The 22,143-nt window shown below is 43.9% G+C and overlaps 1 protein-coding gene across 12 annotated transcripts in view, besides 5 other annotated features; it reads right to left on the bottom strand.

Moving 5' to 3' along the window:
* ETV6 (ETS variant transcription factor 6) overlaps positions 1 to 22,143 on the bottom strand; it is a 245,704-nt gene that overhangs the window by 4,772 nt on the left and 218,789 nt on the right. For 10 of the 12 annotated variants that reach the window (XM_047428502.1, NM_001413914.1, NM_001987.5 and 7 more), the window contains 3 exons: positions 20,637 to 21,182; positions 6,019 to 6,161; positions 4,580 to 4,680 (listed from right to left, as the gene is read on the bottom strand). In XM_047428502.1, the coding sequence (XP_047284458.1) occupies positions 4,580 to 4,680; positions 6,019 to 6,161; positions 20,637 to 21,182 (790 nt within the window). Of the gene's footprint in view, positions 1 to 4,579; positions 4,681 to 6,018; positions 6,162 to 18,972; positions 21,183 to 22,143 lie in introns of those variants that run through there. The other 2 variants (NM_001413917.1, NM_001413916.1) reach the window with 2 other exon arrangements.
* Positions 4,409 to 5,119: an enhancer, noted in NCBI's record as "H3K27ac-H3K4me1 hESC enhancer chr12:12038421-12039131 (GRCh37/hg19 assembly coordinates)". NCBI's record gives its function as "activates a minimal SCP1, AML or CMV promoter by ChIP-STARR-seq in primed H9 embryonic stem cells {active_cell/tissue: H9 hESC(primed)}" and the evidence as "EXISTENCE:reporter gene assay evidence [ECO:0000049][PMID:30033119]".
* Positions 5,146 to 6,345: an enhancer, noted in NCBI's record as "CDK7 strongly-dependent group 2 enhancer chr12:12037195-12038394 (GRCh37/hg19 assembly coordinates)". NCBI's record gives its function as "activates an origin of replication core promoter dependent on BRD2, BRD4, P300/CBP, MED14 and CDK7 cofactors, with strong dependence on CDK7, by STARR-seq in HCT116 cells {active_cell/tissue: HCT116}" and the evidence as "EXISTENCE:reporter gene assay evidence [ECO:0000049][PMID:35650434]".
* Positions 11,572 to 12,369: an enhancer, noted in NCBI's record as "H3K27ac-H3K4me1 hESC enhancer chr12:12031171-12031968 (GRCh37/hg19 assembly coordinates)". NCBI's record gives its function as "activates a minimal SCP1, AML or CMV promoter by ChIP-STARR-seq in primed H9 embryonic stem cells {active_cell/tissue: H9 hESC(primed)}" and the evidence as "EXISTENCE:reporter gene assay evidence [ECO:0000049][PMID:30033119]".
* Positions 15,110 to 15,159: a silencer, noted in NCBI's record as "silent region_4248". NCBI's record gives its function as "represses an Ori minimal core promoter by ATAC-STARR-seq in GM12878 lymphoblastoid cells {active_cell/tissue: GM12878}" and the evidence as "EXISTENCE:reporter gene assay evidence [ECO:0000049][PMID:35858748]".
* Positions 20,399 to 20,899: an enhancer, noted in NCBI's record as "H3K4me1 hESC enhancer chr12:12022641-12023141 (GRCh37/hg19 assembly coordinates)". NCBI's record gives its function as "activates a minimal SCP1, AML or CMV promoter by ChIP-STARR-seq in primed H9 embryonic stem cells {active_cell/tissue: H9 hESC(primed)}" and the evidence as "EXISTENCE:reporter gene assay evidence [ECO:0000049][PMID:30033119]".

Here is a 22,143-nt window from a genome sequence, read left to right as displayed (position 1 = left end):
CAAAAAAAAAAAAATCTGGGTACGGTGGTGTGCACCTGTAGTCCTAGCTACTTGGGAGGCTGAGGTGGGAGAATCCCTTAAGCTCAGGAGGTTAAGGCTGCAGTCAGCTATGATCATGCTACTGCACTCTAACTTGGGTGACAAAGTGAAATCCTAATTATTGGAAAAAAAAAAAAAAGTCTAGGCTGTCTGTGACGTAGTGAGCACCCTTTGGGATCACGTGGTGCATTAATGCATGACCACACGAGAAAGCCTTGGTCCAGACCATGTATATATGTTCTTTCTTTTACAGAATTAGATTTTACAGACTCATGAGAGCTGTATATCCACTTCCATTCCAGACTGTGAGCCCAGGAAATGGTATTCAAAACTTACTTAAATTTCAAAGGATATAGTTAAATGTTAAGTGAAAAATGCTGACAATAGGACAACTTAGTGGAGCTTCTGGAAAATTGGAAGGGCAAAAAAAAAAAAAAAAAAATCTTTTACAATGTTATCACTGATTCACCCAAAATGCCAGCAATGAACCCTCTTTAGTCTGTCTACCTTTGCAACTGGGGTGTACAGCAAGCCTCATCTTCCTGTTCAATGGGTTAAACTGGAAGTGACATCAGTGACATGTTTTGACCATAATTTACATGGCTCAGGAAGGCAGCCTGGTTGCAGATGTTCCACCTACACTGTAGGAGCACCCGTTCCAGTCCCCTTCTGTGCCTGCACACCTTTCTCTCCCCATATACTCTGCCCTGCGCCACTATCTTAGAGCTTACATTTTCTCTCATTCCTCCACATGCAAAAGCCTAAAATGACCACTCATCAAGTCAAAGGTGCATCCTTTGCTCTGCTCATCGGGTCTTTCTGCCATCTTTACCTAGGAAGCTCTTATTTTCCACTGTTCATCAGTATGAACCCAATGCAGTCTAGCGGTCTTGGCTCTTGTATAAATCATGGCGCATGCTCTCCCATGTATCTTTAGCTTTTCCCTTATCTGGAGCCCTCCTGACTCTTCTCACGAGTTGAGTCCTACTCATTCTTTGTGTTCTGTCTCCTCATCAAAGAGCTGCTTAATGGCACTAGTCCATGATTTCAACACTTAAACCTCCATCTTCTTCAACACTCAAACATCTTGTAAAGAGTATCTACAATTCAACACCTCACTTGATTACATACTAGGTCTTATACCAAGAAACCTTCATTTTGTGGCAAGTCTGGCTTCTAACATTCATTTCCTCAAAATGGACTAATCTCTCCCTCACTAATAGCACTATTCCTTTCTCTTACTGAAAATCTTTTATTGGAAGCCTATCAATCTTCTGGCTACTACTGCTTTTCCTGCTCATTACTGGCAAACTTCTCCAGCAGTATGATCTGTAGCATCTGCAGTTTTTCTCCTCTTTTATCCCCTAACTAAAATTTCTCCCTCCACATCCGAAGTCAATAAAGAGCCCCTCTAAGCCAACTCCACAGATGTCCTATGCTTGGCCCCCCAAACCACCCCTTTCTTCTTTTGACGACTTTCCCATATTAAGCTTCTGATATTCCACACCAGGCTGTCAATAAGCATTAACTGAAAGGTTTAATATAGAATGATAAAAAATAGAATCCTCTACCTTCTAGGAGCTTATAATCTAGTTGTCGGGGAGAAGGACTTGACACATAAAACTACAGGCTGAGCATCCCTAATCCAAACACTGGAAACACTTCTGGTCCCAAGCATTCCAGATGAGGGATACTCAACCTGTATTCAAAATATAAATCCTGTAGTCGCTCTAGCTACTCCGGAGGCTGAGGCAGGAGGATGGCTTGAGCCCAGAGTTTGAGGCTTCAGTGAGCTATGACCACACCACTGCACTCTAGCCTGGGCAACAGAGTGAGACCCTGTCTCTAGAAAAACAAACAAGTTGGCCAGGCACAGTGGCTCACATCTGTAATTCAAGCACTTTGGGAGGCCAAGGTGGGCAGATCACTTGAAGCCAGGAGTTTGAGACAAGAGTGGCCAACATGGCGAAACCCTGTCTCCACTAAAAATACAAAAATTAGTCAGGTGTGGTGGCAGGCACCTGTAATTCCAGCTACTATTAGCTACGGCATGATAATTATGAGAATTGCTTAAATTCAGGAGGTGGAGGTTCCAGTGAGTCGAGATTGTGCCACTGCACTGTAGCCTGGGTGACAGAACAAGGCTCTGTCTAAAAAAAAAAAAAAAAGAAAAGAAAAGAAAAGAAAAAGCAAATTGTAGTGTAGTTAAGGGCTCCAGGAAACCCAGGTGATGATGGAAGACGACAGCTATGTGTGTTGGAGCAGCTGAAGAAGGCCTCATTCAGGGCAACAGACTTGAGGTTGAGCCTTGAGGGTGTAGGTATTAAAAAGGCAAAAGTTAGTCATATACATTTCTGGCATAGGGAACTGTATTAGTGTTGTAGGGCAGCTGGCAGTTTGTATTATGGTTTCAGGAGGCAGCAGAGTGGACTAGAGACAGAAAGACGTTGTTGAGTGAATCCCGATGTGAATCATGAAGTCCAGACATCAGCTTCCACTGCCAGGGAAGCCTTTACTTTTTTCTAGTCTCCCAGATCTCATGAAACTGCTTGTCACTGAAAGACTCCAACCTGGGAACTTCTGGCAACAGTCCCTTCTGGGAAATGTAGTTCCCAGGCTTCTAGCCCCTGCAACACAGAATAGAGTGGGAATGGTGCTGAAGAGCCAATGGTCCATCTAGCACAATGACTGGGATACAGGAGGAGTCAAAGGGAACTGTAGTTTCAAAGTTGGCTGCTTCAAACAGCAGTGATGCCCCTGATGAGTAAAGAATTCAATAATTCTGGGTGGAATTTCTTTTCTTTTTTTTTTTTTTTTCTTGAGATGGAGTCTCGCTCTGTCACCAGGCTGGAGTGCAGTGGCGCGATCTCAGCTCACTGCAACCTCTGCCTCCCGGGTTCAAGTGATTCTCCTGCCTCAGCCTCCCGAGTAGCTGGGACTACAGGTGCATGCCACTACGCTCAGCTAATTTTTGTACTTTTAGTAGAGATGGGGTTTCACCATGTTGGCCAGGATGGTCTCGATCTCTTGACCTCGTGATCTGCCCACCTCAGCCTCCCAAAGTGCTGGGATTACAGGTGTGAGCCATCATGCCCGGCCTCTGGGTGGAATTTCTAATCCGAGACAAGTGTCTGTTTTGAAGATGTCATGTCTGAAATACTTAAATGTGATATTTAAGGGGACACAGCCTACAGGAAACTCTTGGACATTCAAATTTGGAATTTCAGGGAGATTTTAGAGCTGGATATAGAGATTTAAGAGCCTAACCACTGAGGTGATAAATGAAGTTGTGTGTCGGGATCAGTTCATCCACGAAAAAGGTATAGAGTGGGAAGAAAGGGAGCCAAGGACTGCGTTTAGGTTGAAGGATGAAGAAAAGCCATACGGTAGAGCCAGAGAATGGAGGGTTCTTTTTTTATTCCTTCTATTCTGTTTCCCTTTCCTGAAGAGCCTTTCCCGTTTCTTTTGAAGATCTTAATTGCTTTTACTATTCCTAAGTTACCATTCCTTCCCAATGCTAAAGACCAGATTCTCTGCTCTTTCCAATAAATTAATCATATCAGTGAGCTCATCTGTTCATACATGGTATCACTTCCTACCTGTATATAGATAATTCACAATCTACATCTCTAGCCCCATCTGCCACTCTCTTCTGGCCCACCTGCCAAAACTCATCACCCAAGGTTGTGTTTGTTGATCTCACTTCTACCAACCTGCAGTTGGCCCCGCTAATGACTACCACCAGCACCAGAGGTCTACTTCTACATCTCCTGATTGGTCCTTCAGATCCCTCCTTCTTCTTCCAGTTCTTTCTCCTCTCTTGCATAGTACTTGGAATTACAATCTATGTGGTGGCAGGCTAACTTGGTTGGAACTCATTATCTATGAGGAATTCTGGAAAGAAAAATTCTAGTGCAGCAGCTTGTAGACTTATTCTGACTACGATGCATTATAAGAAATACATTTTACATCATGACTCATCACGTACATACACACCTGGAACAACATTTTCATGAATCAACTGTCATTCTTGCTACATGTCATGCAGTCTGGCATTTTCAACTCTATCCTATCCTATCCTTATTTCATTAAAAAAAAAAAGCTCTGATGGACCCATTCAATCTATTTCATGACTCACTGTGGGTCATTACCTGCATTTTGACAAATACTGGTTCAGAAAGTTGCCTTACAGCGATGGTAACCTGGAAGTCTAGGTTTAATTCCTTGTTTTGCCATTGACTTTGTGCTTTTAACTACACCGGACTTTAATGCCACATAATATTATTTGGTCACTGCGTTATTTTAAAGGTGAGTCAGATTCTGTTCATTTAGTTTTGGCTTTATTACAGGACAGACATAAGTTAAAAAAATATTTTCCTTAAATCCTAACAAACCAGTACCTGGTATCCAGTTTGTAGCAATGATTGGCTTTGGGTATCCGATAGGCAGGTAGAGATCTTAACAGTCTCCCCCCACTCCCCGTTATTTAAAGAAAACAGCATCCTCCCAAAAGAAGGAAAGGAGAAAAAGGAAGTGCTACCTGAACAAAAGCCTTTGTCCTGGCTCCTTCCTGATAATGTTTAGTTTGTAGTAGTGGCGCAGGGCTCTGGACATTTTCTCATAGGTCATGTTTGTTCTGTTCTGTTTGTTCAAAGGAGGAAGGGAGAAAAAAAGCACAAAGACACAATGAAATGAACCTCAGAAAAGGCACTGCGGGAGCTATTAAAATAAAAGCTCTTCAGCTGCTGCCTGTGGCCCTGCCAGTTTGGGAAGCTACCTGCTAATCGGCTGCCTTCCAGGCACATCTGTCCCCACCCTTTAGCTTTTTATATTCACTGTCACCAAGGTTTACTCCTAAGGTGAATCACCCTTTGTCCGAAGTCCTGGAGCCCTAGCTAATAAAGCAGATCCCATAGCAGCCTCGCTTATTTCCTTTTCCCAAGACCGCTCTCTGCTCCGCCTGAGGAATTTCCTGCAGGTTCCCCCTATCTCTGGGTCACCCTTCACCTTCTGACCCACACAGCATTTCTTTTTTTTTGTTGCAATGACCTTTTCTCAAACTTGTGTTTCTGGTCTGTCATTTTAAGGAAGACAATTCTTTTGTTTAAATTCCTGTTGTGGAAGCAAGAATACAGTGGTTCTGGGCCCGAGGCAATGGTACAGTGGGAGTAGCAGAGGGATTTTTCTCAGTGACTCACACATGGAAGTGTCTGTCAGTGGGGCCTTGCCATATTTGGTCATGGTCTGCATTACCCACTGCCTTCTTAGAAGGCTGCAGGTCTGGGCACACCTGGCTGGGCCTCCCTGCCTTTTCACTCACTCAGCGGATTGGGGTTGTGCCACCATGCCAACATCAGGCTTTGCTTCAGGTCCACCTATCGACTGGCCTGGATCACGGTTACCCGCTTTTTACAACTGCGCACTTGAGCAGTCTTCCTTACTGCAAAAGACTTTATTCAATTCCATTCCCTCCTCCCAGTTTGGGAAATTGTGGGGCAAACTTCTTGCATCGCTTGCTTATAAAGGGGATGTTTTACAGTCAGAATCTAAGTATTTTCTATAAAGAAATGGGCTTTGGGGAACATGGGAGTTTCTAACTGAGCAGAAAAGTAGTGGCACTTCCCAAAGGTCCCCTGTGAGTCAGAGAGTCTTGCTGTACTTCCCTTTTACCCAGTTCCTAACAACAGTGGAGGTGGCGGGATCAGGTCAAGGGGAGTGGAAACAAGAGTCACTCATGATGCAGCCCAGCAAACCAGGATATGTGAGTTAATGGGCACCTGGTCTCAGGAACAAATGGCAAGATGCATCTTTAATTATTTCCTTCCCTTTGCAACTGCCTAATTGCTTGCCCAGCAAGGAATAAACTAAATAAGTATGGGCAGACGTAAAAAGCAGAAGACAGACGATTATCCTCCAATCCAGGGATAAGGACTTCATTTTGGCACTAGTTTATGGAGCAGATATCTGCTGCCCTTTTACCTTATGGTTTCCCCACAGTCGAGCCAGTCCGTTGGGATCCACTATCCGGAATATTTTGGATTCTTTGTCCTCCCATCGGATGAAGTTTTCGTACCGGCTGTCAGAAAGCAACTGATAGACGTAATCCCAAAGCAGTCTACAGTCTACAGAGGAAAAGGGCAAGAAAACACTGTTGAAAATGTTTCTTGTTGAGGCACTAACCAGAAGAATCAAAAAAGAATCCAGCAACTGCTTCTGCCTAGCTTGGGTTGACTGATTGTCTAACTAACTTCCTTGTTTTACCGGGAAGAAACGGAGGCCCAGAAAGATGGAGGGAGGTCCTGTTGTGTGACCTTTGACCCACCGGAGGCCTCAGAGATGATCCAGGCGACAGCCTCCCTCCACAGATGATGATACAGTGACCCAGAAGTCCACGGTCGTGACCCAAACTTAAACCTGGGCAGAACCCATGTGAAAGACGGGAGGCAAGTTCTAACTGAATCAATGGGCTCTGAATGTGTGTTAAATGCAGGCTGGAAGGAAAAAAGGGTGGAAAGAGGGTCCTGATGGTTACAGAGAGAGCTGTGTGGTAAAAAATAGTGGAGTGAAAAGGTTATCCTGGTGTTGGTGGGAGATGGATGGATAAAGATGAGAAGGCTGGGGTAGGCTAAAACACAGCAAAAAGGAGTGAGGAGTGAAAAATGGTGGGAAAAGAAAAACTATGTGGCTTGGTGACTCTGACTGTGGGAACTGTGGCTAGCATGGTTTCAAAAAGAGATACAGATATTCTCATTCTATCACATTTTGGAGGTCTTTAAAAAATGTTTTGATATAGTGGATCATGGCAGAAAGGAACCCAGTGCAAAAGTCACTTTCTCCACTTGCAGAACTGATGTTTGAACATTTAGTCAGGCAATGGATATTTTATTAAGTGTTAGGTGATTTAATATGGACTAGGCATGGTGTTGGGCCTTGGTTTTTGGCTGTGGGCTAGTAAATTAAAAGAGAAGACATGGCCGGGCGTGGTGGCTCACGCCTGTAATCCCAGCACTTTGGGAAGCTGAGGCAGGTGGATCACTTGAGGCCAGGAGTTTGAGACCAGCCTGACCAACGTGGCGAAACCCCGTCTCTACTAAAAATACAAAAACTTAGCCAGGCATGGTGGCGTGTGCCTGTAATCCCAGCTACTCAGGACACTGAGGCAGGAGAATCGCCTGAACCCAGGAGGTGGAAGTTGCAGTAAGTCGAGATCGCACCACTGCCCTCCAGCCTCGGTGACAAAGTGAGACTCAGTCTCAAAAAAAAAAAAAAAAAAAAAAAAAAAAAAAAAAAGAAGAAGACATGATGTACACCTTCCCCTTGTTCTATGACTTTCTGGATGTGTGCTGTGAAGGTGTGTGGTTGCCCTCCAGCAGAACCTGGAGAGGCAGCTGGGGACAGATGTGTGCCTTCTAGGTTGAGTTAAAGGTTAACTGGCCTCCAGATGAGGAGCAGCACCAATTTCCAGGTGTTCACTGCATGGTTCTGGAAATGCCCACTTTTTATAGGCACTTGTCAGAATGGCTGGTGATGGAAGATCAACTACTGAATTACAAGTATGAACTCGGCACTTTACCTGTATTATTTCTGATCCTCAGAGAGGTTGAAATAACTTGCCTGAGGTCACAAGGATTTGCACTCTGGACTCCTGCACTACAATGTTCTTTCTTTTTTACTTTGGGCAAGGCCTAGGCCTGGCACATTTGAAAGGGGAGTGTCCAGTTGAGACTTGGAATATATTACAGCCAACACATCCGCATTGCAGAGAAACATACACCCTTCTCTGGGGGTATATTTACAAGGGGAATTCAGTTGGGCCACCCTGGACACGCTTCTTAATCTTCCTGAGGTTCTGTTGCCTCACTTATGAAGTGGGAATAACAGCACTTACTTTACAGGATTATTATATTAGTGATAATGGGAGGGAAGAGAAAGTAATAAAAATAACAACGGTATTTAGTGGGTGCTATTTGTAGGTACTGTGCTGTGGCTTCGACAAGCCTGGTTACATCTGACCCTTACGCCGCCTTATGAGGCAGGTGCTGTTGCTATTCCTATTTTATAGATCAGGAAGCTGGGGCTGAGAGGGTTTGATGATTTACTCAGGAGGACACAGCTTATGAATGACACACAGGATTCTTGGCTGTGCATGACCCCAAAACCCATGCTATGACACACTTCCCAATGCAATTTCTAGTCTCAGAGAAACTCGTTAATGGGTGTATGTTTATAAAATCTTAGGACTTTCCAGAACAAAGTACACCTGCTCAGTGTATCTTTTCTGAACTCCAGCGTTCTCTTTGAATAGCAGAAGACACTGGCAGAAAACTGTGGCATTTTCCAGAAGCTTAATCTTTCAAGGAACTACCATTAAATGTACAGCAGCCCTAAATCTTTAGTATCCCTTATGGAATCCTTTCTTCTGTATTATCTGTGTTTAAACATTAATGTGGTGTGTCACTCATTGTGTTTTGGAAAAGGACAAGTGGCCTCCTTCTTAAAACAACAACACCATAGTCCTGGACTTTGAACCCCATTCTAACAACAGAAGCTGTCCAGCCACTTCTATTGCCCACCCCGTCTTGCCATGGCTGCATTCTGTATTGCCAGGGGATGGGCTGAGGTGGGGGTGTGGAGAAGATGAGCAACCCAAGCATCTTAAGTACCTTGAGAAATCAGTGTCCTACTGCAGACTGAGAATAATCTAGCTCGTTTTACAGGCATTTGAAGGAGGATGATTCTAGTTTCTAAGCAAAGCAGTAAAAAGTGGCAAAGTGTCTTTTTCCCTTGTAAGCATCTCCTTGTCTTGAATTACTTTCTCTATAAAGGGAAAATAGAGATCTGCTGTGGTCTGAATCTTCATGTCCTCCCCAAATTCATCTGTTGAAATCCTAACTAACTACCAAGGTACCTTTGGGAGGTGATTAGGTCTTGGGGGCCCCACCCCTGTGAGTGGGATTAGTGCCCTTTTAAAAGAGGCCTGAGAGAGACCCCTCACCCTTCCACCAAGTGAAGACACAGCAAGAAGGTGCTGTCTATGAACCAGAAAGTGGGCCCTCACCAGATGCCTCATCTGCCAGGGCCTTGATCTCCCCAGCCCCCAGAACTGTGGAGCAATCCGTATCTATTGCGTACCAACTACCCAGTCTACGGCAGTTTGTCAGAGCAGCCCCAAAAGGACTAAGGCCAGAACTCAGCTGTGGCTTAATATTTCAGTATTTGTCCTACTATCAAATGGCAGACACATTTTAATTTTCCATAATCTCTTCCAACTGGAAAACATCTGACAAAATCACATATTATCACATACAGTGCCTGTAAATTAGGGTTGGGTGTGGTGGCTTATAATTATAATCCCAATGTTTGTTTTGGGAGGCAGGGGCAGTAGACTTGCTTGAAAGTCCGGGAGTTCAAGACCAGCCCAGGCAACATAACGAGACCTCATCTCTACAAAAAATTTAAAAATTATCCAGGCGTGGTGGTGCATGCCTGTAATCCCAGCTAGTTGGGAGGCTGAGGTGGGAGAATTGCTTGAGCCCAGGGGTTTGGGGCTGCAGTGAGCCATGATCAACCCACTGCACTCAGCCTGGGCGATAGAGTGACAGAGTGAGACTGTATCTCTAGGGGGAAAAGAAGCCAGTAAATCAGGACGAACGAAAGTAGTTTGTGTGCAGCCCCTCCTATGTCTCCCTATAGGTTTACAATCATTTCCATTGCAAATAGGCTGACGACGCCATTGGATTCCTCTGGATTGGGAATGTGATTTTCTAGTGTGTTCATTTTAATAAATTTCAGCAATTAAGAAACGACCTGGTTGTCTTTTACAGTTTCATATAAAGACATTTTGCCCATATGAAGGTGGGTGACATCATGGCAGCCCTCTTGACTCTAGGCGGAAGGCACTCCACTCAGAAGCCTACTGTAGAGCAAAAAGAAAGCGGACAGTTCTCTAACCACAAGCATGGGCGTTTTCACTGCATGTTTCTGTTGCTTCTCTTTTACTGTAATGGTACATTCTACTTCTCATAAAACAGTGAAACGTGAACCAGACCATTTCTCCAATGTAAGGGCTTAACCTGCACTGGGCTGCCATGTTGGTTTTTCGGAGGCATCAAACTAGGACCTAGAATGTTATCTACTTATCAGATGGCAAAAGGAAGGGCAGGGCTTACCAGAGAACACCGTTTCCCTATCAGCTTCAAGAACATTTGTATCCGGCAAACTTTTCCTTTCATAAATGTGAAAACAACCCCAAACAAGCTGCCAATTGATCATTTTAAATGACATTTAATCCAGCAAAGCCAACTTTAGCTGAGTAATAAAAATACGTTGACATTCAGGACATATTGAATTAGTCACTAACGGAGACAGCAATAGGAATTTTGTGGCATAAAGCAGTTGTTTCAAGCTCAGAGTATAAGTGGCTTTTATAACATTATTGATTGTTTTGTTTCTTTGGTAAAAATTATGCCTAGATGATAAAAATAACTGCCTGACCACACAATAGATTTTTTTTCCTTTTTTTTTTTTTTTTTTTAAACAATTGACATTCAAGCCATGTCAGTTATTTTTGTTTCTAAGATTTCTATTAAATAAAAGGCAGATCCTCTTTAGGTTCCTAGATCCTTTAGAGGTTGTTGCCACGGCTCACCTGGAATTTTTCAGCCTTTTCGGAACCCATGCCTGCACAGATACAATGTTCTTTGATCATCAATGTAAATGCATAATACTATATAATAAAGCGCAACACACTCTATAAATAGAAGTTCACTCCACTTCAAAACACCTGAACGTATATGTATAAAATGTTTTTGGATCACAAGGTATTCATTAATTTTAAGTGCATTTTTCTTAAACGAAAGGGCTTTCTTCTATCTCAAGGCACATGGATATTTTAAAGAAATTTCCACTATTTGGATTTTCTTTTCCATGAGAAGTAGTTTATGAAAGTGTTTAGCCCAAGTATAGTTCCCTCTCCTTCCTGCTGGGTGAGGTACCCTCGGTATCCGCAGCTAAAGGCATTGTAAAAAATCCCTTCCTGTGGTTAAGGAGAAATATTTTCACTCCCACGTCTGTCTCTTACCAGAGACTCATTGTATAAACTTATTGAGCAGAGATTGTAAAAAGATGGGCAATTCACACATAACCAACATGGTTTCTAAAGAAAAAAACCACGCTAGACAAAACTGATGCCTTAAAAAACTTTGAGTAGGAAAGTCAAATTATTGACATAGGGAATGTTTAATGATTGTGGTTAATTTAAATTTCAGGAAAGCTTCTAAGAAAGTCATTTTATGTTCTTTTAACTGCCCAAGTGGAATTTTAAAGAAGGCCTGCAAATGACAGTGTCATGGGCATAATTACCAGAAGAGAGGCTGAGTGTCCCTGTTACATTTTTTGAAATTTATTACCTAAAAATTAACGTTTATTTCCAGTTCAGCAACAAAACACGCAAAGTAGCATATGAAAAAAAAAGTTGCTACTAAGCTTTACAAATATGGTTCTGAACTGGGGGCATGTGGCAATATCTGGAGGCATTTCTGGTTGTCACACTGGGGTGCAGGGTGCTCCTAGCATCTAGTGGGTAGAGGCCAGGGATGCTGCTGAATCTCTTACAATATAGTAAGCAACCCCACAAATTATTATTTGGCCCAAATATCGAGAGTGTTGAGAAACCCTGCTTAGAGAAACACGGTTTACAACATTCAGGGGGCCATCTGCTGCTTGTTTTTTTTTTTTTTCCCCTCCTCCTCCTCTATTCTAGATCAGCCATTACCTAGAAGCAGAAAGTTGGTCAATCCAGTGCAGCCAGGTGTGTGTTGATACGCAGAGGTGTGTTTACAATGGGCAATTGCTTGTGCTTTGCCGTGGCTTAGGAAAACAGAAAACATATGTGCACGGTGGCACGCTGGGGGAGGGAGAAGTGGAGGCAAATAATACAAAAATCTACGCTTCCTGGCTTCCTGGGGCAGAAGAACCACAGCTGCAAATGAGGCTGGACCTTTTCACCTGTGATTACATAAGGTGTGGAGAAGGCTTGGAAACACCGGTATCCGAAACTCACAGCCTGCAGCTGAGATCCAGCCCGCAGTCAGAACCTAATAAGGCCCAGCCTCCGCTTTGCTCAGGTGTGGGTGCAGCCTGGGAATTCACATCCAGGGACTGCAGGGAGGTAGGACTCTGTATTACAGCACTGTGCGCCCTTACACAAACTGGAATTTCCAGTCTCCTCAAGCCCCTTCTATTATTTTCCACTCAGACACCATGCTGTTGATGTTTTTTTATCTTTTAAAAACATTGTCCTGAAACTTCCTCCTCTTTTAGGGCTCTTTGATTTCTCAGTTGTTCACACTGAAAATCAAATGCAGTGACTCAGCCGCTGGGAATATTCCTGCTGGAGTGATGGCTCCTCCCCTCCCCAGTGCTCATCTTATTCATCCCCTCCAAATATGGACAGCAGGCAAAGCTTCAGGGAGGGGAAGCAGGAGCACAAAAGTAAATCTCCAAGGAAATAAGAAAACGGAGGTGGCCTTGAAGGGCACCCCACACAGGCCTTCCCTGTCAGTGCCCTGCGTGGCTCTGCAGGCAGTTGTGCTGGCTGTACCCACAGCTCCCACACAGTCCCTCTCAGATGGGCAGGATGGCAGCTCAGCAGTGAGGCAGGGGGGGACAGTGACACGTAGCAATTAACTTTCTTGTGCCATGCATTCACATGTTGTCTCATTAACAGTCAAAAGGGCCCAGAAATGGGTATTACTATTCTCAATATTACAGATAAGGAAAGAAGGGCTCAGGGACATTATGCACCTGCTTGGGAGTCAAGAACCGGATTCCAATCATGCTGACTTCGCAGTCCAAGCTTTTGCCACAGGCCCACACTGCTTCCCTAGGACTGTTCGGGGCCATCTGTCTCCAGGAGCTCTTGAGGGTACTGGGCTACAGAGGTCTACAGAAGGGCATCTCCCTGAGATAGTGTGGGAGGAAGCGGCTCTTTCACCTGGTACTAAAACACTGGAATCCCTGTGGCTTCTGGGGACATCCCACAACCCTATCTTTTCTTTCCTGCAAACACAGATATTTATGCACAGATGCATGTGTGCGAAGGTGCACATGTGTCTGCACACCCCACACCTTCCAACAAAGGCCGAGGGCTGAGACTTGCCCCCAGCACTTTCATGCAATCCCTTCACACTTCTCTTTTACGAGGTCTTTTAGCTGTCAAGGCTGCTCCTGAGGCTCATGTACAAAATTAAAAAAAAAAAAAAAAGTCTATAGGCTTCCTTTGAAACAAATTCACAGCAGCATTAAACACTGTGGGAGGAAGTGGAGACAGAAGCAAGATGCCAGAATACAGTGACTTCTCCCAGTCCTTGAAGCCCCTGAGGATAAGCCTCAAACTGCTTTCTCTGGAGTTTCATACTTTTTTCTTCATCTTACTTCAGAGGCTTCCCTAATTGAATCTTTGTATATATATAATTCATCCAGTCAATAAAACCAAATCAAGAAAGTACATTGTTTTAGTTGGGTGACAAATAAGCAATGCAAGAGACTTGATGTCTCGCTGATTAGAATCTTTTTGTTTCTGTTAAGGATGTAACCTTGAGAGATAGTAAAAGTATTTTTTAAAGTCACAAAAGGCTACCTTTAAAGATTCCAAGGATTGCTGCGAAGTGTGTTCTAAGAGGGTTGGGAGTGAAGAGATCTTGAGCTGAGAGGAAATTCTGTGTCTTGCCTGCTGTAGGATTAATGACCCAACTGACCAGCGATAGCCTCACAAATCGAGAAGTTCATGTTCACAAAGATGGAGAGACTTCAGCAAAAGTTGTGAGAGAAACACAAGAAAGGAGATATTCTCTATTTGGGTAGGCCATGGCCTTTGAACACGTAAATCTGTACAGATTTAGGTCCCCACTTTTGGGTAGCAAATGAGGGGTTATGAAATGAATGGATTATAAAACAATTGTCAGTGTACCAACGAATCTTCTTCCTCAGCAGAGTTTTGGATTAAGGCCAAGGAAGAGACAGGCAGACAGGAAATCTGGTGGCTCAGGTTTTAACGGAATTAAAGTACTTTAAGAGAAAACTAAACTGACTGAAAAGTGTTCGTTTAAGATTTAGCTGTCTATAGTTAAAGCAGGAGCTTAGTTTGTGTCATGGCATAAAGCAAGAGGACATTGCCTTCCACCAGCAAGGATACGAAATTTGGCATTTAGAGATGCAGTGCCCTATCATCTAGAACAATGCCTGGCACATGAGCAGACTGGCAATAATTTTTGAATCAATGAATGAAGAACTGTATAATCCAAAGTGCAAATAAATCGTTTCTTTTACGTAGCTAAATACTTAGTATTTTATTTATGTTAATGATATTATCGTAACTATTCTGGTTGGTCTGAAAATATAGCCTGCAGTCCAGAACCTGTCTCCTCTCTTACATAACTTGTTATTGTTCCTTTCACATGTCTCAAACATGCCTTGTCATCTAAAGTGCAAATAATTCCTTGGGAGCAAGGGCACTGTTTTCTAAGTCTGCATCCTACATTGCACCTATGATTCCAAGCACACTGACCACCACGTACACAATGTTGCAAGGCAGAGAGCATCAAACGTTTTCTGTAAAGGGCCAACTAATAAATGTTTTAGGTGTTGCTGGCCATGCAATCTCTGTTGTAACTACTCAACTCTGCCACTGCAGCATGGAAGCAGACATAGGCAATACCAAATAAATGGGTTTGGCTGTTTTCCAGGAAAACTTGATTTAAAAAAAACGCATGGTGGCTGGATTTGGCTCACACTTTGGGCCACAGTTTTCAATCTTTGCTCTAGAGTCCCAGACCAGAAGGAAACAATAATTTTGGGAAAAACACTGAACAGAAGCTCGAGGCTAGACTCTTGATGTGTCTCAATCTCAGTTCCTTCACCTGTAAAAGGCCCTTCTACCTTTGAAATCAAGTCCAAATAAGGAATTTCAATACATACTGAAAACATGACTCACGGATGACTACAGTCACACCTCAGCCACCTACAGGTGCTTGTGGCCAATATACTTTCTGGCTTTGAAACACACTGGTGGGACACAAGCCAGTAAAACTTTTGTAGGTAAAGTTTTAGAAGATTGACAGATGCTTTCTGCTAGGCTCCTTGCTCCTAAATAGCCCATTCTTAAAGATACCAAGTAGAAAACAAGCACAGAAAGAGGCAACTTTTTCACTATTCCATACAGCGTTGGCTGCTGGATTCAAAATAAGACCCCAGCAATCTTGTCTCACTCCGTCTTGTGCTAAACTCTCTCCCATAAACACTAGCCATTCCAACCTGGTAAATTCTTAATAACAGTTCTCCTTATCCTTTGCAAAGTAAGTGACACCTTTAAAAATAAGCTACTTGTTATATTTAAAAAGATGTCATTTGTGATTTGTATTTAAACTGTCAACCACCTACTGAATTTCCTTTCTTGATTATTTTAGTTTTTCCATATGGTAAATACCTAACAGACATAAATTTGCATGTATCTTTTTTTTTTAATTATACTTTAAGTTTTAGGGTACATGTGCACAATGTGCAGGTTTGTTACATATGTATACATGTGCCATGTTGGTGTGCTGCACCCATTAACTCGTCATTTACATTAGGTATATCTCCTAATGCTATCCCTCCCCCCTCCCCCGACCCCATAACAGGACCCGGTGTGTGATGTTCCCCTTCCTGTGTCCATGTGTTCTCATTGTTCAATTCCCACCTATGAGTGAGAACAATTCTGCATGTATCTTAATGGTATGATGGAATTTCAGTGATAATAGATAATGAAAAGAATTTATGAAAAATTTCATATATATATACACATATATATACACATATACATATATACATATATACACACATATACATATATACACACATATATACATATACACACATATGTGTATATACACACACACATACACATATGTGTGTACACACGCACATACACATATATGTGTATACACACATATATGTGTACACACGCACATACACATATATGTGTGTACACACGCACATACACATATATGTGTGTACACACGCACATACACATATGTGTGTACACACGCACATACACGTGTGTGTGTATATATACATACGCATATATATATACATATATGTGTGTGTATATATATACACACATATATATATACACACACATTTTTTTTTTTTTTGAGACAGAGTATCACTCTGTTGCCCAGGCTGGAGTGCAGTGGCATAATCTTGGCTCATTACAACCTCCACCTTCCAGGTTCAAGCGATTCTCCCACCTCAGCCTCCTCGGTAGCTGGGACTACAGGTGTGCACCACCATGCCCGACGAATTTTTGTATTTTTTGATAGAGATGGGGTTTCACCATGTTGGCCAGGCTGGTCTCGAAATCCTGACCTCAGGTGATCTGCCAGCCTTGGCCTTCCAAAGTACTGGGATTACAGGCGTGAGCCACAGTACCCAGCCTGAAAAATGATAGATTTTTAAATGACCTCAATAGATCTCAACTTGTAGATTTACATTTCTACCTGAAATAGAAAAAATACACCGAGCCTTATCTTGCTTTGCTCCTGGTAAGTTTTCTCCATCTGGAATGACCTGTTTTTCTCTAATCTCCACTTGTCCACATTCTAAGCATTCATCCAAGCCCAGCTAAAAGCCAGCCCTCCATGTAGCTTGCCCTGACATCCCTACTCTGACCTCCTGTGGTACTTAACAGGAGCCCTTCTAAGATACATGTCATGTGCTTCGCTTTTATAGTTAACTGTGCTCAGCTCTTTCATGATAAAGACTGTGTCTTATACCTCTCTGAGGCTGTCCCCACCCCATCAAGAATGCAGAACAGTGCCTTATACACAGAAGGTGTCCAAATGCATAAATTCTAGGGCACCTGAACAAATCATATCTGAATAGTAAGAATTTAGCTTCATTTTGTGATCCACATTCATGAGTACTATTTCCATCTATACCCTCCAGCTATAGTACTCATCAGTTTGACATTCAGCAGCACCTTCATTTCTTTTTGTGCTGTGCTCATTTGAAAAGCTTTAAGGAACTAAGTTTTCTCATCTAACAGCTGCTTTACGGAGATTTAAAGGCTTTTTATGGCTATTCAGTTAATGACAGAACTTTTACGTTGTACACAGGAATCACCCAATGAATTTCACCTCCAATAAACAGAATCAATTTTACAAGGATCGAGGAGTCCAGAAAGACATCAGAAGAGTGGAGTACACACAGGGGTATCCTCAAAGAAACAAAGGTGCTTAAAACTCTTGTGTTTTCTTGGGAGGGTTACAGAATCAAGACTGTCAGACTACAGACTGGCAGAGCTGGAAGGAACTTTAGGGATGATTCAGTCCTACCTTCTTCGGAGAAAAACAATGCCTTTCAGTGGAATGAGTTAAATTTGGATTTGGTTGCATTAGTTAAAATATATATTGGGAGATTTAAAAACTTTTGAATATGCCATTATAGCACTGGTAATTAGTTTTAGGACATTGTGTTATACTGAAGGAGTTAACGCATTCCCCCAAAAGATCTAGGCCCCAGGGTTATTTTACATGAATATTCTTGACTTCCTAGAGCCATCAAGAAAAGCACATATTGCCTATTTCTGTGTGCCCTTGAGAGAGCGGGCACCCATAGACACCCAGGCTCATCATTTGGTGGGTGCAGTATTCCACCAAGCTTCCTAACCGATGAGGCCGCATCCATCATCAAACACTGATATTGGGGAATGAGATGAAAAAAATAGTAGTATAGGCTGGGTGCAGTGGTTCATGCCTGTAATCCCAGCAATTTAGGAGGCCAAGGCAGGCAGATCACTTGAGGTCAGGAGTTCAAGACCAGCCTGGCCAACACGGTGAAACCCCGTCTTTACTAAAAATACAAAAAAATTCGCCAGGCATGGTGGCGTGTGCCTGTAATCCCTGCTACTCAGGAGGCTGAGGCACGAGAATCACTTGAACCTAGGACGCAGAGGTTGCAATGAGCCGAGATTGCATCACTGAACTCCAGCCTGGGTGACAGAGACTCTGTCTCAAAAAAAAAAAAAAAAAAAAAGTAATATAATTTTAAGAGACTAATATTTTGAAATTTACAAACCTACTAAATAAGGGAAAAATAACTCCTCAAGTCTAAACCATGTGTCTTTCTTGATTCATGGGCTTATGGTAGATTCCCAAGAAGTGGTGAAGGCAGTGTCACCTGGGAGGTAGACAGGAGAGATCTTGGGAAGCAAGCCAGGCCCACGAGGGCAGCACTATGGACAGCAGCCACGGGCAGCAAGGGTTGTCCTGCACACCTCGGTCATGGGGCCCCTATCTGACCTTGGCAAAGGCCTTTGCCTCTCTGGGGCTCAGTTTCCTCTGTGGTTTCCCCTGTACAAATGACCCTTCCACATAAGATGAATACTGCAGTCATGAGCTACCTTAAAGAGCGGTCCTGAGAATTATAAACAAGCAAAAGGTATCTGCAAAATGTCAAGTACTGCTGCACACACCATGCAAGAAACAAGACGAGAGGGTATACAGACAAGAAGGGTATTGCCTGGAAAGCACGAGATGGGTCATTTATAGAATTCACAGCAATACACTGACCTCATCCTCCTTCTCCAATTATTTGGGGAAATTCACATGTTTTGCCCAAGCTCTTTGCTTCTTTATCTACTATTCTTTTTTTCCCCAGTTTTATTTTTTCATTTTCTGATTAAAACAATCTAATGTACAGGTAAAAGCAGAGAGATCAATAATATTAACCCCCATGCATCTATCACCCAGACATATAGCCACTAGCTGGTGATGGCTAGCCTTGTTTTATGTAGGCCCCACCCACATCTCACCCCCTAACTCTGCAGGATCGTTTTGAATGGAATCCCAAACATATATCATTTCCTTTTTCATAGTTTTTAAAACATATAAGTCATTTTTGTTTGCCATTTTATTTTCTGGATTCAACATCCCTGATGTAAATGATTTATAACAGTGAAACTGAGACAACACTGGTGGTGCACTTGGGGCCAGAGAAAAATCTAGAAATACATGATTTAAATAAAAAAGGGACAGTACCGGCCAGGCGCGGTGGCTCACGCCTGTAATCCTAGCACTTTAGGAGGCCGACGCAGGCGGATCGCGAGGTCAGGAGATCAAGACCATCCTGGCTAACATGGTGAAACCCCGTCTCTACTAAAAATATGAAAAAAATTAGCCGGGCATGGTGGCGGGCGCCTGTAGTCGCAGCTACTCAGGAGGCTGAGGCAGGAGAATGACGTGAACCCGGGAGGCGGAGCTTGCAGTGAGCCGAGATTCCGTCACTGCACTCCAGCCTGGGCAACAGAGTGTGGAAAAAAAAAAAAAAAAAAGGGACAGTACCTCAAGGCAGAAGTAAAGTAGGCTTGTAGGAGCCTGTTCTTCCACTGCCATCAGCATGGCAGCACCTTGATGGTCAGCTAGAGCTCTCACCGGGTCATGGGCTCAGGGAGGAGGGGGCATTTCTCACCCTTCCCTGAACAGGTCCGTTCTCTCCTGCCTCCAGGCCTCCTTCCCACTATCGAAAGCACAGTCACTTCAGTATCAGGCTCTCTCCCCTGCAAAGCCTTGCTTGGTCCCTCCAGTCAAAACACACCTTCCTTCTGCTTTGCTTCTACAGCGCTTTATTACTCTGGCAGACAGTAGGTGCTCAATGAATGCTGGTACATAAAATGAATGGGAAATGGGGCTGACTTCATTCTGCCTTATATCTTAGTGGTTTTCACCTTTGTCTCTCCCACTATATTCTAAATTCCTTGGGGAAAAAGATATTGCATGTTAAACTAGCTCTGTATCCCTACTCCTAATGCATTTATTTGTACACAGCAGGTGCTCAACAAATATCTAATGGAGAAATGCTCTACGAAAAGAGCTAACCTTGTCACATGGTTAGAGGATTAAGCTTCTGAAGAATGAGTTCATGTAAATTATGAGCATCCTAGGAAACAGACAATGTGTAGATATTTTTCCCACTGGTTTCCACTGGTTTCTTCCCTTAAGTAAGCAAATTTGGGCTTCTTATAATAAATGAAAGAGAATCTGGGAGTGGTTTCCTCTGTCCAAATGGCCCAGCAACACCTGCCTCCAATACCATAATCCTGTTTTCCTCTCCTACCCGCTCCTAAGGTGAAGGCTGCATGGCGTTACCGCTCACAGGATGGAATTACAGGCCTGAATCTGAGACAAAGCTTCTTTATGCTGTGTCTGGTCATTAATTAGCTGCTGGAAACTTCAGGACAGGGCCATTAGCATGCTCATAAACCTTTTATTTTAAATGTTTTCGCTTAGCCTTGATTCTGATGTGACTCTCCTTGTAAGCTGGACGTAGGACATTTGTTTCTTAACATTTCTGAGGCTCATTAACTACTCCATCCCAGCGGCTCATTAACCAAGCCATTAGGGATTTAGCCTCATCCAAGCAGAAGCCTCCAATTGCCCTCAGAGAGCCTTGGAGGGCGCCTAATTGGGAATGGTGCGAGGCTGGCTGCAAAGATCACAGGGGAGAGTGGGACTTTGTCAGGTCCCCATGATGCTGGAGCGGCGAGAGGGGAACTCACTCACCTGCTATTCTCCCAATGGGCATGGCGTGCTCTTCAGGCGGGGAGACAGAGACCATGATGTGGTTCATGTAAGCCAGGTCTTCCCGATGAGAGAGGTTGATGGGCTTCCCTTCCCTATGCAGCCCGTCCTCGGAGAGCCTGGACTGTTTGAAATCCACGGAGTGCCGGGGGTTCAGGATCAGAGGGTGCATGATGGGGCTGGGCATCAGCTGGATCACGCGTGTGCTCTCCTGCCGGGGGCTGGATGGCTTCGGGTGGGACTCGGAGGACGCTGGGCAGTGATTATTCTCCATGGGAGACACTGACAGAGGGTAGGACTCCTGGTGGTTGTTCTCCTGGTGCGGCCTGGGTCCCTGAGCTCTCTCAGCCGGGGAGAGGCGGCGGATCATGTTGTCCAGGGGGGACCGGAGGGGCCGCTGCTCGGGGTCAGGAGAAGGCCGGTGATTTGTCGTGATAGGTGACCTGGAGCGGTGCAACAGTTCAATGGTGGGAGGGTTATGGTGCACATTATCCACGGATGGCCTGGGGGTCCTCTGGACACAGTTATCTGTGGAGCAGAGGGAAAGACAATCACAGACCCCAGTGAGTTGGCAGGACAGGAAACTCCCTGCGGCTCTACAGGCGGTAAATGGAGGAGCGTGTAGGTATGTGTAAAGGACCTTTCTCCCCAGAATGCAGTGTCTTTTTCACTGCTTAACAATTTGAAGGGTGCATATTTTTTTTTTTTTTCTGTTTGAGATGGAGTCTCACTCTGTTGCCCAGGCTGGAGTGCAGTGGCACGATCTCGGCTCACTGCAAGCTCTGCCTCCCGGGTTCATGCCATTCTCCGGCCTCAGCCTCCCGAGTAGCTGGGACTACAGGCGCCCACCACCATGCTCGGCTAATTTTTTTTATTTTTAGTAGAGATGGGGTTTCACCGTGTTAGCCAGGATGGTCTGGGTCTCCTGACCTCGTGCTCTGCCTGCCTCAGCCTCCCAAAGTGCTGGGATTACAGGCGTGAGCCACCGCGCCTGGCCTTAAGGTGTGCATATTGAAACTATTTTTCTATTGCCAGACAACCTAAGGATGTCTACAAGCATTCCGTTAATGACCTACCTGTGGCCTGTAGGCACAAGGAAGCCAAACTTCCATGCCCCATCTTTTGGCCATCATTTAACTCTTCTACGTCGCTTTCAGAGGTGGAAGGGTTCTTACAGGTTTCTCTCTAGATGCTTTCATTGACTTACATTTTCACAACTAAAATTTTCATATTCTCTAACTCTAGGAGTTATTAGTATTAGTGATAATGTTAATAATATTAGTAATAATTATTAGTAATAACTATATCTTAGATGCTGGATTTCACTGTTTAAAACTTATAGCACTCCTGGCTGGGTGCGGTGGCTCCCGCCTGTAATCCCAGTTACTCGGGAGGCTGAGACATGAGAATCGCTTGAACCCAGGAGGTGGAGGTTGCAGCGAGCCAAGATCACACCATTGCACTCCAGCCTGGGTGACAGAGCAAAACT

Source organism: Homo sapiens, chromosome 12 (genome assembly GCF_000001405.40).
Source record: "Homo sapiens chromosome 12, GRCh38.p14 Primary Assembly".
Lineage (NCBI taxonomy): Eukaryota > Metazoa > Chordata > Mammalia > Primates > Hominidae > Homo > Homo sapiens.
The sequence above is the reverse complement of the archived record's forward strand: the minus strand, read 5'-3'. Positions and strand labels throughout refer to the sequence as shown.